General features: G+C 42.7%; 1 protein-coding gene across 9 annotated transcripts in view, besides 7 other annotated features; it reads right to left on the reverse strand.

The window, feature by feature from the left end:
• The window catches only part of SRGAP2B (SLIT-ROBO Rho GTPase activating protein 2B), a 208093-nt gene that overhangs the window by 110054 nt on the left and 83791 nt on the right, over window positions 1-14248 (reverse strand). The gene's annotated exons all lie outside the window — the stretch shown is intronic.
• Window positions 449-1427: an enhancer, noted in NCBI's record as "H3K27ac-H3K4me1 hESC enhancer chr1:144010333-144011311 (GRCh37/hg19 assembly coordinates)". NCBI's record gives its function as "activates a minimal SCP1, AML or CMV promoter by ChIP-STARR-seq in primed H9 embryonic stem cells {active_cell/tissue: H9 hESC(primed)}" and the evidence as "EXISTENCE:reporter gene assay evidence [ECO:0000049][PMID:30033119]".
• Window positions 1428-2408: an enhancer, noted in NCBI's record as "H3K27ac-H3K4me1 hESC enhancer chr1:144009352-144010332 (GRCh37/hg19 assembly coordinates)". NCBI's record gives its function as "activates a minimal SCP1, AML or CMV promoter by ChIP-STARR-seq in naive H9 embryonic stem cells {active_cell/tissue: H9 hESC(naive)}" and the evidence as "EXISTENCE:reporter gene assay evidence [ECO:0000049][PMID:30033119]".
• Window positions 2993-3501: an enhancer, noted in NCBI's record as "H3K4me1 hESC enhancer chr1:144008259-144008767 (GRCh37/hg19 assembly coordinates)". NCBI's record gives its function as "activates a minimal SCP1, AML or CMV promoter by ChIP-STARR-seq in primed H9 embryonic stem cells {active_cell/tissue: H9 hESC(primed)}" and the evidence as "EXISTENCE:reporter gene assay evidence [ECO:0000049][PMID:30033119]".
• Window positions 2993-3591: a biological region, named in NCBI's record as "H3K4me1 hESC enhancer GRCh37_chr1:144008259-144008767".
• Window positions 3297-3591: a silencer, noted in NCBI's record as "tiled region #356 duplicate 2; HepG2 Repressive non-DNase unmatched - State 14:Gen5'". NCBI's record gives its function as "represses a minimal TATA promoter and a strong SV40 promoter by Sharpr-MPRA in HepG2 cells {active_cell/tissue: HepG2}" and the evidence as "EXISTENCE:reporter gene assay evidence [ECO:0000049][PMID:27701403]".
• Window positions 3657-3951: a silencer, noted in NCBI's record as "tiled region #15698 duplicate 2; HepG2 Repressive DNase unmatched - State 14:Gen5'". NCBI's record gives its function as "represses a minimal TATA promoter and a strong SV40 promoter by Sharpr-MPRA in HepG2 cells {active_cell/tissue: HepG2}" and the evidence as "EXISTENCE:reporter gene assay evidence [ECO:0000049][PMID:27701403]".
• Window positions 4456-4955: an enhancer, noted in NCBI's record as "H3K27ac hESC enhancer chr1:144006805-144007304 (GRCh37/hg19 assembly coordinates)". NCBI's record gives its function as "activates a minimal SCP1, AML or CMV promoter by ChIP-STARR-seq in naive H9 embryonic stem cells {active_cell/tissue: H9 hESC(naive)}" and the evidence as "EXISTENCE:reporter gene assay evidence [ECO:0000049][PMID:30033119]".

A 14248-nucleotide genomic window follows, 5' to 3' on the forward strand; every position in this document is an offset into this window, starting at 1 on the left:
AATGGCGTGAACCCGGGAGGTGGAGCTTGCACTGAGCAGAGATCGCACCACTGCACTCCAGCCTGGGCGACAGAGCAAGACTCCGTCTCAAACAAACAACAAAAAAAAGAACCAAGGCGTTTTTAGGGTGGAAAGGCTTTCCAGGTACTGAATCAGTAACAGATGTACAGGGGATATGGATGGGCAGTAAGGCTGTCAGGTCCCTCTGAGTCCCCTGTAATGCACTTAAGAATTTACCTCAGTAATCTCACTCACCAGGGGAATACAAAGGAATAGTTAGTTGGATGACACCCACCCTCTGCCAAAAAAAGAGAGGACAAGGCAAAGTCCCATGAAGTTCCAGAAGTAGGCCACTCCAGAGTTAGCCTGTCCAAGGAACAAGTACTTAATAGGAGGCCTCTGAGATATGTGATTTAATATAAGAAACCCCCAAGCACATCCAGCCAGCAAGGAATTCCAGCCTGATTTTGCAGGTGCCTCAATGAGGGCAGCAGAGTATATGCTGCATCACAGGTACTCCCTCTGGAACCCTGAAGGGATGGGAGCATGTGTTTATTGAATACATTTTATAGGCCTTTCTATGTATCATCTCATTTAATTCTCACAGGTAGTCTGTAAGGTATCCACAATTATCCTGATTACACTAAGGAGAAAACTGAAGTAAGACTCTTTAAGTAATTTACCAAAGGGTCAACAATTATGCAACAGGAGCTGGAGCTAAATTAAGGTTTGTCTGACTTGTCAAAGAGGTTAATAGTAGGTCAGAGAAACAAAAACAAGAGAAATAGAACACCAGTTTGGAGTCTCTGAAAGTATCTCTGTGTAAATCACAGTGACCATGACTCTTAACTCCTGGAACATCGCCTTTTCCACTTTCCAGCTGAGGGTTGATTCAGGCCCCTAAGACAAGTTTGGACTTGCCCACCGACTCACCAGCTAGCTCTGTTTCAATCTGTCCACAACCACACTGGATCCCTTCCCCACTTCCTAGATCTACTCTACAGGACAGCTTAGGGGGAAGTGCTTTTCTTGTCCTGTGAGTACACCCTGAGGTCTACCAGGAAGCCCAGAGGACAGAGACAGTAAGAAAGCAATATCCCCACCCCTGATCCAGGAAAAAAAAGAGGCTCTGTTAATAGATACCACCTGCTAGTGTGGTTTATTTGTGATATGACACCATGAGCATCTCCCCTCCCTCACAACTGGCCAAAAAGAAGAAGAGGAAGAGGAAGAAGGAAAAGGAAGGAAGAACAGGAGGTGGAGAAGGAGAAGGAAAAGGAGGAGAAAAAGAAAGAAGAAAGAGAATGAAGAAGGAAAAAGAAGAAAGGAAGCAGAAAGAAGAAGATGCCTCCCTTGTTACCATCTTCAAAGAATCCATACAGGCATTAAGGGAAATTCTAACTACTCTCACTCTTAGGCGTACAGCTCCAAGACAGAACAGTTGTTCTATCCAGGGAAAAATGTGCTGCCTTAGGCGCTGCTGCTGCTGCTCCTACAAAGACAAACAATGGTCCCCAAGAAGGCAGCTATGCTGGCCCCAGTCCCCGTTCATGCACACAAGGGGCAGGAAACAATGGGCCACTGAATACCAGCACTCCTGGGCCATGTGCCCAGGCTGAAGGCCCCTCTGAATCCTGGCCTATCAACAAACAAAAGGGCAGAAAGAAGAAAGAGGCAATTTAAAAACATAGAGGAACTCCTCACAGTTCCCTCATGTGCTTAGGCGATCATGCATGTGCACATCATGTGTACACACTCAAAGACTCACACCACTCATACCACTTACACCATGCTTCACGATACCAACTCAAGAAGACTTTACACATCTGGTTTACAGTTGGATGAGAATACTTGGGAGCTATGGAGATGGTGGGGTCCTTGCCAGTTCCTTCCCTAGAAATACATGGAAAGAAGTCAAGCTCTCACTTTCTAGAAGCAGCTATATCTTAGGGGTACAAAAGAATTCCCTGGCTATTCACAAAGCCAAAGTACTAAGGTCGCCATGAGTCACCTGGAGTGATATATACATCCAAACAGCCTCCCCTGAGCGCCCAGTAGAGCCCATTTATTCAGCAAATCTTACTGAGCCTTTCCTGTATGGAGGCACTGTGCTAGGTGATGGTGACAAAGGAGGAAAAGACAGGTCTAAGCTCTGTCTAAAGAGGCATGGCTTGACAAAGAAGAGAAAGGACAAGAGAACACAAAAAGTCTTATTGTTTCTGCTTTAAATATTCTTTATTATAACAAAGCTGTGGTAATAAGCCCCAACCTGAAGATCTAAGATTTAAAAATCATCAATAGCGGAAAGAAATCACATAACAGGGCTAAGAAAAATCCAATGTCCTCTATCATTTTTTCTTATTATGTTTTTTTAAAAATGACACTTGAATAAAAATTGCAGCTTCCCTTGCAAGAGGAACCCAATTTTTTTAAAAGGTTCCTGAGAATCAGAGTTGACCTCTGGTTGATATTTCATGCAGAGATTCAAGACAAATTTAAACCTCCCTGTTTTGAAATTAAGATAGTGATGATTGTTGCTCAACCTTGTGAATATGTTTAAAAAATTGAATTGTACACTTTAAAAGAGTGAATTTTACAGTATGTGAATTATATCTCACTGAAAAAAACAGATTAAAAAATTTAACCCCACCACATAGCATATTCTGTTGAGCACCATCTGCCAGTGAAGGGGAAAATAACCCAACAAACAGGAGCCAAAAGGAGGAACGGATTCTTGGTTTCCATTTCCCCGTGTGTATGAATTAAACACATTCTGCATTGACTATTCCTAAAGCAAATCTTGGAAGCTGCCCCTCTGGGCCGTAGGCTTGGCCATGACATTGAACTCCACTGGCAGATCACCATTTCCAAACGATGTCAGATAAAGACCTGCCAGGGAGTGTTTTTATATGTGAATTCAAATCCAGCATCACCAGACACACCCATGAAGCTTCCCCTGGGAAATGCTGCCTCCTTGCCCATGCTTGGCCACAGCTGAGACACTAACTATACTCGTCCTAGTATTTAGAAAGAGGCTTATTTCCTTTTTAGAAAGATGCTGAAGGGTCTCAATAAGCATGCAACTGGAAGAAAAACTAGCCCTAATAGGATACTGATCATTTAACAAAAACAGGCAGGGCCCTGCCACGCTGACAATCATGTAGACTCCAAATTACAACACCTGCCAATGCAGATGACACAGTCCTCTGAAAACTGCCCTCACTTCAGAGAACATCCAGGGAATTCACCAGTCAGCAGAGTACAGGGGGTGAGGGAGTGGGGGTGTTCAGCCTATTGCTTTCAATCCAGAGATCCCTTTCTTTCCTCCTTTCAAAATTCATCTTCTTCTTCAGGAATTTTCTCTGATTAAGTCATGAATACCACATTTCTAAGGAGAAAATGGGGGAGGAAGGGCAGGCCAGGAGACAGATGTAATCTTTCAGGAGAGTCACACAGGCATGTCCTTCCTTTCTCCTTGATGTGCCAGCACCCAGGGGGCAGGAGCTGCATCTCCCACAGGCTCTGTTGCCAGCACGTGGAGCAGATCAGCCCGCGCTCCCCATTGGGAACCTGGTCTGACTGCCAGTCTTTTTCCACCCAATCTGCCTCACCTGCTTTTAGCCCCTTCACAAACACATGAAGTCACCTCAGCCATCTCAGGAATATTAATTCCTAGTACCTTTCCAGAGAATGTTACATAAGAATACAATTGAGGCTTTCAGGCGCTACCCTCCATATCTCTTACCAAGACTTCTTATCACAACAGTAATCAGCCCCTCTCAAAACTGTTCCTCAGGAAACAAAATACCAGAATGCCCTGCCAAGTCTTGCTCTCTACTCTGCTAGTTTGCCTTTCTATGAACTTAGTAAAGGGAGGACTCAAAAATCCTTGCTGGACAGATGTGAGAACCAAAGCTCAGAGCAGCAAAGGGGATTGACCAAGATCACACAGCTATTTAGTTGCAGATCCAAGACTGAAATCCAAGTCGCTGAGTTCCCAATGTCCTTTCCTACTTTTACTTACTCTCATTGCAAACATCTATTTGAGTGCCTTCCGGGTGCTCTGGGAATACAGACAAAAAGTTCTTCCTCAAAGTTAGCAGGGTAGTGGAGAAGAAAGAAGAAAAAAACAGTAACAAACAAGGTTAAATAATAATATAAACAAATGAGTATGCGCACAGAGCAGAGAGAGAGACACAGCACCACCCTCAATGTGTTATATGTGCTATAACACATCCTCAGTGACTGACATTACTTACCTATGAGTAGTCAGTTTCCAAGAAAAGGCCATCAAGATACTTTCAGTAAACTAGGAAACAGCAAATATTCTTCCTCAAAGAGTGTGACTGATAGTCTTTTTCTGCATTACTTTACTCTATTAAGTAAGGCACAAAACAGGCCAGGCACAGTGGCTCACCCCTGTAATCCCGGGACTTTGGGAAGCCAAGGTGGGCCGATTACTAGAGCTCAGGAGTTCCAGATGAGCCTGGGCAACATGGCAAAATCCCAGCTCTACAAAATTTTTTTTTAAGTTAGCTGGGGGGGTGGTGCATGCCTTTAGTCCCAGCTACTTGGGAGGCTGAGGTGGGAGGCTTGCTTGAGCCCAGGAGGTCAAGGCCACAGTGAGCCGTGATTGTGCCACTATACTCCAGCCTGGGTGACAGAGCAACACCCTGTCTCAAAAAACTAAATACATAAGGCACAACCAACCAACAAATAGCTATTATGTTTCTGAAATAATTGTTTTTCATTCCTTATATCCATGTTTTCCCCACTCTCGGTCCACATGCTTTCAGTAAAACTGATCCCACCCCTGCCCTCTCCAAAGATAGTGTGCTTTCTCAAATCCAGGCCTTGGCTGGGAGATGGAAGACCTGGGGACAAAGAGAGTGTGACACTGCCACTGCCATCTTGCTACCGTGAGTGGAAAGCCCATTTGAGAATGGAGTTGGCCCAGAGAAGCAGAGCTGAGAGATGGGGAGAAGGAAACATGAGTATCTGAATGAAGTCACGATGAGAAGCCAGCCCTATCCCTGGACCTTTCAGTGACACAAGTCAATTCATTCAATTTTCGCTTAAAACACTTTGCCTAGGCCAGGCATGGTGGCTCACACCTGTAATCCTAGCACTTTGGGAGGCCCAGATGGGAGGACTGCTTGAAGCCGGAAGTTTGAGACCAGCCTGGTCAACATAGCAAGACCTCATCTCAAAAAGATAAAATAAATAAAATAAAAGATATATAAAAAAGAAACAAACAAAAAAACCACTTTGCCTTGGATTTTTGGTCCCTTGCAAAGGGGCTGTAATGGATAAACTGAGGATTTCTGAAGTATGAAGTTCCCTGTTCTCAAGAAATTACAATCTAATTGTGAAGACATGATCCAAATATACATTTCAAAATTTCACATAACAATTCATATTACATAATTGCACAAGATATATAATTATATAGTACAGAAATTATGTTATTGTATACTATAAGGACATGAAATTAAGAATAAATACTACAATGAAAGTGTTGAAAGCTCAGGAAGATCAGTGGGGAATCCCATTACTATAGTCAGGCTTCTGGAGGTAGTCTAAACTTCTTGAAAAGAAGAAATTTGGTCGAGCACAGTGGCTCACACCTGTAATCCCAGCACTTTGTGAGGCCGAGGCAGGCAGATCACGAGGTCAGGAGTTTGAGACTAGCCTGGCCAACATGGTAAAACCCCATCACTACTAAAGATACAAAAAATTAGCCAGGCATGGTGGCACACACCTGTAATTCTAGCTACTTGGGAGGGTGAGGCAGGAGAATCGCTTGAACCCAGGAGGCAGAGGTTACAGTGAGCTGAGATCACACCATTGCACTCCAGCCTGGGTGACAGGGAGAGACTCCATCTCAAAAAATAAAAATAAAAAAAAAGAATAAATTTGTCTGTTCAGTTGACTAATGTACTTGTGGGACCCAGAACAACACCTAGCATTATAGTAGGCCTCCAAGTTTGTGGAGGGAAGGCAGGAGAGGAGAAAGAGAGAGAGAAAGGGAAGGAAACAGAAATCTGAAGTAGTATTCTGAGGAAGAGTAGGATTTCAGTAAATGAAGGGTGAGGAGAGGATATCCCAGAGTAAGAGAAAACGTACACCAAGAGATAGGAATGTTTGAGCGTGGCCTCTCTGTGGGGTAGGGAGGAAGATGTCCTTACTGGAACAAAAGGTGGCACTGAGGCTTGGTCAAAGATAAAGGTGCAAGAGGAGGAATAGCTCCAAAGGCCAATAGAGTAGTTTGGATCTCAAGCAGCCAGAAATGGAGCTGGTAAAAGTTTGTGTCATGATGAATGTAATAAATGGAGTTGAAGCAAGATCACAGTGAAGGAAGTCTGCTGGATGGAGTCCTATGCTGTCTAAATGAAGAAATGGAGTGAACATTAATGAGCAATACAAGCTGAATGGTAGAGAGGTCAAAATGAGTAGGAGAATTCCATGAGTGGAAAATCCCTGCACATACCAACACCAATCATTAGCAATAACACGTACTTTAGAGCCCATGACTCTATAGTATGATTCCAAACCATCCTTCCCTTCACAGTAGTCAGCAAACTGGAGCCATAAGAGACATCCTTGGGTTCAAAGGTAAGACAGTAATCTTGGTGGGAGGAAGGGGGTAGTGGGGGCAGTTGTGACTGGAACTCTGGCCTCCCTGGCTTTCCTTTTGACTGTAGTTTTCTCTGATGGACTTTAAACATGGCCATCTTCAAAACTGTCTGCCCTGTGCGGTAGATTATTCCAAAGCTATGAAAGAAAGAAACACTCCTCCCCTTACATTAACTCCACACTACCTAAAAACAATGCATGCACCTTTGGTAACAAAGAGAAACCAGCTAGTGGGAAAGAGAAGAAGAAAAATGGCCCTACAAGTTTCCAAAAGACGTTCAGTCATCCATTAACTTTCCAGCCCCAAGTGAATGCACAGAAGGCAATCTCATAAAGCCAATGAGAGGGATATTTCAATATCATCGTGACTACTCTGGCAGGCTGCCTTAGTTCTTTCAAGTGACTCAAAAGCAAGTTAAAGACAAAAGGATCCCAAATGAAAAAGCTGCCACATCAAATGCCAAAGTAGTAATTTTAGCTCCTAGGTCTTGCCTGAGATGTTTAAGAAACAGAATTCTCAAGGTCCAAAATTTAGAATTAACTTGTACCACAAACTAAAGATGCAGGATGTGAAGACCAGCAGCTCCTCTGGGAAATGTCAGCTAGTCTGATGCTCCTGATTCATTGCTAGTGACAAGCTGCAAGTCAGTTCCCAAGGACCACGATAATCAACCAACAAACCCAGCAAATATTTATCTAACACCAACTCTGTGGGAAGATCTGGGTGATGAATCATTGGAACACACATGAAAATGTAAGATATTTACACAAGAAAATGTAAGACAGTCTCTTACTCTCAAGGAGCTTACAATTGAATTGGAGAAAAGGAGGACTAAATGCAAAAATATTTAAGAGTATAAGACTGGCATCCTAAGTGCCAAAATAATGGTCCCAGACTACATTAAGAGAGGAAGAAATCAGTAAAATCTAGCATGGACCTCTTGAGACCTTGGGTAGGGGGGGATTTAAACAGAAGCGAGGGGGATGACAGATGAAGGGTTGTAGTTAGCAAAGCAAAGTCAAAGAGGCTAAAATGGGCAGATGAAGCTCAGGAGGCTGTGAGAAGCCTTGTGACTTGAAGGTTCACACAGAAGAGTATGAAGAGAAGGGGTAAATAAGCAGGCCAGGGCCAGCAGAGAGGGTCCTGCATGCCTGATGAGCAGAACAGATACAAACACAGTTCTAAAGGGCTCTGTAAACTCTGGACAAAGCAAAATGAGAGTCTTGAAAAGCAGGACAGCCCAAGAAGAGTCAAAGCTCAAGGAGAGTAAAAATCCAAGAAATTTCCTACCAAACAATTCCTGAAAAGACCAAATGTCAGTTCAAACATGTCCACTCTCTTAGAGGACAAAGGCACACTGTATGTGCTCAAGGCTCCAACACAATCGAGTTGAAAACAAACCAGATCAATATTAAAATCCAGACCCTACGTTCCTGTAGAGCTGGCTCTGGAGAGTTCACTTCATTTTGTGCAGGACCCAGCTTAGCATAAGTACTGGCACATTGTTTCAAGTTTAGTTCAACAAGCAGGGACCAAGCACCTATTCGTTACCAGTGAGAAGGACAAACAAAAATGATTAAAGAAGACCAAGAAGTTCAGTTGGCCCGTGAAATGCCTACGAAGCATCCTACTGGAAAAGGCAGTTGTATTCTCCTTCTGTTCTCAGGAGAGGTCAAGTCTAGAAATAGACACTTGGGAGCCATCAGCAAATATTATAGATGGCAGTTAGGAAGTTAACCAGCAAAGTGAATGCAGCTGTCCATAGACAGCATGTAGAATTAAAAAGATGTAGGCTTAGGATATCCCCATTTAGGTGGAAAGCAAAGCAAGGAGAGATAGGAAAGTAGATTAAGAATGAAGAGAGATGTACAAAAGTGTCAATAACTATGGAGTATTTAAATAAGACAGCAAGGCAAAGAGCTCATTAACCTTGGCAATGAGAAGTCTATCATTATTGAGGGCCTGCTCTGCCAGATTCAGTTTATGCACCACCCCAGATGAACACAACTACCTTGCTGCTGGCTGAAACAGTCTGCCCAGTTCCTATTGCAATGGCTGTTCCTGGGCCTTCATATGTTGTTGATGCACCAGCCTGACAGTGCATTGCCTTCTACCCCTGCGGCGTGACTCTCAATCCCACCCAGGCTTTCTCTCCTGCTACTGAAGCATGAGACTTGGAGTGACCTATTCAATCAGCAGTCATGTCAACAACAAGTACAGAGAAGTGGAGGCTTCAAGAATCAAACTTTGACCTACAGGAGATAGAAACTGACGAATGAAATATTTTCCCTCCTTGCCCCAGTGGACTGTTCAGAGATGCAGTAGCTTCACATAGTTACATGAAGATGTCCCACAAGACCAAGCAATCATCCTCTCATGAAGCTATAGTCAACTTATAAGCAATCTCTTGTTATGTTCTCCCTCCTTCCCTTTCTCCCCATTCCTGCTTCCCTGGGATGACTCTTGCAAATGAAGTGTACGCTTTTGCCTCTCCCTCTAATTTATATTTTCAAGGACTCTAGACTAAGACACCTACCTTGTGACAGGTACTGTTCTGGATGTTGGGTAGACAGTCCCGTCCTTGACAAAACTTATTCCAATGAAAGAATCTGCCCAGCAGATCCTTCAGAATAGATAACCATTTATTTTTCAACAACTCAATATACATGTGAAGTGACTGGTTTGTTATAAGAACTGATTTAGTTGACCACAGTTTTTTTTTATGGAAAGGTAAACTGTCCCCACAAAAGTTATAGGCAGACACATCTTATATATTTACTAGTAATCACATATCCCATTCATTAAGTGCTTATTATGTGCCAAGTAGGCTCCTATTGAGTCACTATTCAAGTATAAAGGTATCTCACTTAATCCTCAAAACACCCCAGGGAGATTAGTTCACAGCAAAGCTGAGTGATTAAGAGGATAGACCGCATTCAGAAAAACTTGAATTTTAATTGTAGTTCTGCCACCTGGTACCTGTGTCTCCCTGAACAAGACACTTAATCTCTCTAAGTTGTTTTCATTATCTACAAAATGGAGTTTGTAATAGCAGCCACTCCACTGGATTGTTATGAAGAATAAAAGAGATGGAGAATATAAAGTGCTTGCTACATGCCTGATGCCTAGTAAGCCTCCATTAAAAGGCAACCACGATTCCTCCCATTTCACAACGAGGGACCACTGAGGTTCAGAGAGATCAGTTAACTGCCTAAGCTCACTCAGACAGTAACAGATCACAACAGGATTTGAACCTAGATGTGTTTAATTCTTAAAATCAGTGCTCTTAACCACTCTCCCCCATCCATTTGTTTCTAATGCTGAGATACGGCCTCATGTGGTTGTCTGTCATAGTGGAATCTTTTAGTGCTAGGCTGGCAATGTTGATTGGTTAACAAAAAGAATCCCCGAATTCCTTCACCTTCACCAAATTAAGAATCCTCATTCTCACTGTCTTAACTCTGAATGTTTAGGTGTATGTGTTGGGAAAGAGGGGGAACCACCTTTTTACCATTTCTTCTTGAAGGCAATAGCAGGAAAAAGTCCATGCCATCATCTAGAGATGCTATCCACTGGAGAGGCCGCAGAGAAAATTCTGACCCTGGAACTGGACTGCCTGGGCTCAAAATGCCAGCTCCACCACCTACTAGCTATGTGTGACCTTGGGCAAATTACTTATCTCTCTATGCAAGAATGTCCCTATTCTGTAAAATTTTGTTAATAACAGTATCTACCTCACAGAGTTTTTATGAGTTAATATTTGTAAAGTTATTAGAATAATTCCTGGTACATTATACTGTAAGCACTACATACATTTCTTCTTCTTTTTTTTTTTTTTTTTTTTTTGAGATGGAGTCTCGCTCTGTTGCCCAGGCTGGAGTGCAATAGAGCAATCTCAGCCCACTGCAACCTCTGCCTCCCAGCCTCAAGCAATTCTCTTGCCTCAGCCTTCCAAGTAGCTGGGATTACAGGCACCTGCCACCACGCCGGGCCAATTTTTTTGTATAGAGACAAAGTTTCACCATGTTGGTCAGGCTGGTCTCAAACTCCTGACCTCTGGTGATCCACCTGCCTTGGCCTCCCAAAGTGCTGGGATTACAGGCATGACCCACCGTGCCCGACTTATATACATTTCTGATAATACATAAAATCTATCCCATAGGTTCTTTGATCCTTTAACTTTTCGATAAAGAAGGTACAGAAAGTGATAGGAATTGAACAAAACTAGTGGCTTCAAACTTTGGCAATCCAACACACATGCACACACACATACACACACAACTGAAAAGTGTCATGAAACAACATTTATCCTTAGTCATGAACTCTGATATTTTCTATAACTTTTTAAATGCTGGTTGTGGCTCACTAATTTGCTTTCATGATTTAGTAAAAGGTCTCAACCTGCAGTTTGAAAAGCTGTGGAATAAACCACATGGCCACCAAAGGCAGAACTAGAACAGTCTTCAAACCACTCAGCTCCTTCTTCATGGGTTATTATTAAATCAGAAAGGGCCTAAGTTTCACTTCTTGCTGTAAAAGAAACTGTACATTCCGTATCCTCCTCCTTTGCCCTCCACAGTTCACGTGAGCACTAGAAATTCAGAGAACACCCAGGAACCAGTGGGCACTTCCTATGTATGCAACTCATGTTACTGTTGCCCAATCTAAGGTGCTGCCATTCAACATCAGGGAGAGTCCTGTGGCCTGTTCTCTTAGTTTCGTCTTCCTTATTTTGAGGCCCAGCAACCGTCATCATTCACTGTACCTTTGGAGCAAAGAAGTTGCTGATCTAAACACCACAAGGCAATGTTGTTATATATTTAGTAAAAAGATTATAAACAGACTAGATGAAACTTATTAGTGGTTAAGTTTAAAAAAACAAAACAAAACACCAAAAAAAAAAAACAGTCCAGCTGGGCGCGGTGGCTCACGCCTATAATCCCAGGACTTTGGGAGGCCAAGGCAGGCGGACCACGAGGTCAGGAGATCGAGACCATCCTGGCTAACACAGTGAAACCCCGTCTCTACTAAAAAAAAAATACAAAAAAAGTAGCTGGGCGTGGTGGCGGGCGCCTGTAGTCCCAGCTACTCAGGAGGCTGAGGCAGGAGAATGGCGTGAACCTGGGAGGCGGAGCTTGCAGTGAGCTGAGATGGCACCACTGCACTCCAGCCTGGGCGACAGAGCGAGACTCCGTCTCAAAAAAAAAAAAAAAAACCTCCTTATCTCTTAAATATTGAAATATTCAAAGATAAATTATATCTGCTATTGTTTCAAAGTAATGGAGGAGAGTGGGAATGGGTGAGGGATACAGATAAAACAAAACTGGCGGCCGGGCGCGGTGGCTCACGCCTGTAATCCCAGCACTTTGGGAGGCCGAGGCGGGCGGATCACGAGGTCAGGAGATCGAGACCATCCCGGCTAAAACGGTGAAACCCCGTCTCTACTAAAAATACAAAAAATTAGCCGGGCGTAGTGGCGGGCGCCTGTAGTCCCAGCTACTTGGGAGGCTGAGGCAGGAGAATGGCGTGAACCCGGGAGGCGGAGCTTGCAGTGAGCCGAGATCCCGCCACTGCACTCCAGCCTGGGCGACAGAGCGAGACTCCGTCTCAAAAAAAAAAAAAACAAAATTGGCCCTGAGCTGATGATTATCAAAGTAGCATGATGGGTACATGAGAATCCATAACACTAGTCTCTCTACTGTATATATTTGAAATTTTTTATAATAAAAAGTTTTTAAATATCTAATTAATGGTGTGTAAAAAAAAGGCTTAAGAGACTCACAATAAATGCAGAGGAAGACAATAAATAAAACAGAAAAAAATATCCAGAGAACTAAATCTGTGAATAGAAAAGGCCCATAATATATCATGAAATGAACACAGAAAAATCAACAAAGACTTATAATGTTTAAATTTTTGCCCTTCAAGGATAAAGAAAGAGTTATTTAAGAATCAATGGATTGCTAACAAAATACAGCAGAAACCCAGATTGGTCTCAGACTTCTCCATAGCAATATTCAAGGCCTGAAGATAATGTAGCCATGTCTTAAAAAATTCTGATAGAGAGCAACTGTGATCCAAGAATATTAGGAGAAGCTGAGTCATCACTCAAGTGTAAAAAAGGTTCAGACATCTCTCTTCCTCTGCAACTTGAAAGATCTCAGCCTATGAAGCACCCACGAACTCGTCTTGAGAAACAGAAATCTTGCACCCAGTAGATCAATCAAAACAAAAACCACAGGAACAGGAAAGCCACGATCAAAGAACAAGTGGCTACATATGGCACCAAGACCAAAAAATGGGAGCATGCAAGTTGGAATGTAAATGTTAGAAAATTGCCAAGGCAAAAAAAGAAACAACAAAAAAAAAGATAAGCTATAAAAATTGAGAGATAGGAAGAGTAGTGCAAGGAAGTTTAAAAACACGAATTACCTAATTCTTCCAGACAATCATCTAAAGTGAAGATATAACTAAAAATGTCTTTAAAAATATTAATAGTGACTTTAGCCTCCTAACAGTTTTCATAATCTTTTTTTAACCTTAGAGAAAACTTTTAGGAACTATTATCTTTGGTAGAGAAAAAAGTACAGCAGCTCTTTCACTTTCATTTCAGTTTTCTTTTCTTCTGTTAAATTCAAGTAAAAAGAAATGCAGTTATTTTTATTTTTATAGTACATACGGTATAATGCCATTCTTATAAAATTATTTCACCCTCACCAGCCACCCTTCTGTTTATGTGTACCAAATGTTAACACTGGAAGAGAAAGTCCATACGCACCATTACCAAATCCAGAGCCTTCCCCTCCTACCTGCCTGCCCTGTCTCAGCCTCTAACCTAGGTTTATCTTTCTACCTGCAAACCAGAACCCACCCCTTCTTGCTTACTCAAGCCCTTTCCTCCTAAAATTATACACTCTTATTTTCCGTATCATCATTTTCCATCTCTACTGGCCCATTACCAGCAGCAGTCAAACACACTGTATTTTCTCCCATCTTATTAAACAAACAAACGCATATTTTCCTTGATCTCTTCCCTTCTCCCAACCCACCTACCTTTTCATCGTGGCTTCTCTTTACATTAAGACTCAAAATGGTGTCCGTACTCCCTGCCTCCACCTTCTTTCTTCCCTTTTTCTCTTAAGGCCACTGTAACCAGGCTCTTGCTTCTACCACTCTTGTGGTGGGTGGTAATGACCTGCACATGGCTAAATATTGCCAACTCTTGAGACTCCACCACCACCATCACTGGCCTGAGAACACCACACTCTCTTGATATGCTACAGACACACATTCTGTCTCCTTTGTTGGGCCCTCTCCTTTTCCAACATCTAAATGCTGAAATGCCCCATGCATGATTCAGTCATAGGATCTGTTTTCTATCTCTCCTTGCTTCCTATCAGATCCCATTCCATTCTATGTCTGGTGATTCCCAAATCTGTATCTACAGTCTAGATCTCTCAGTCAACTCCAGCCTCCAACTGACTTACCATTCCCTCATAGCCATCTAACAGGTACCTAGAACTTAACATGCCTGAACCTGAACTCTTGACACCCCATCCTGACCACACCCCAGCACGTTCCCTACCCCAGTAACGGTACCACCATTCACCT

The sequence above is a fragment of the Homo sapiens genome, chromosome 1, assembly GCF_000001405.40.
Source record: "Homo sapiens chromosome 1, GRCh38.p14 Primary Assembly".
NCBI classification, from domain to species: Eukaryota; Metazoa; Chordata; class Mammalia; order Primates; family Hominidae; genus Homo; species Homo sapiens.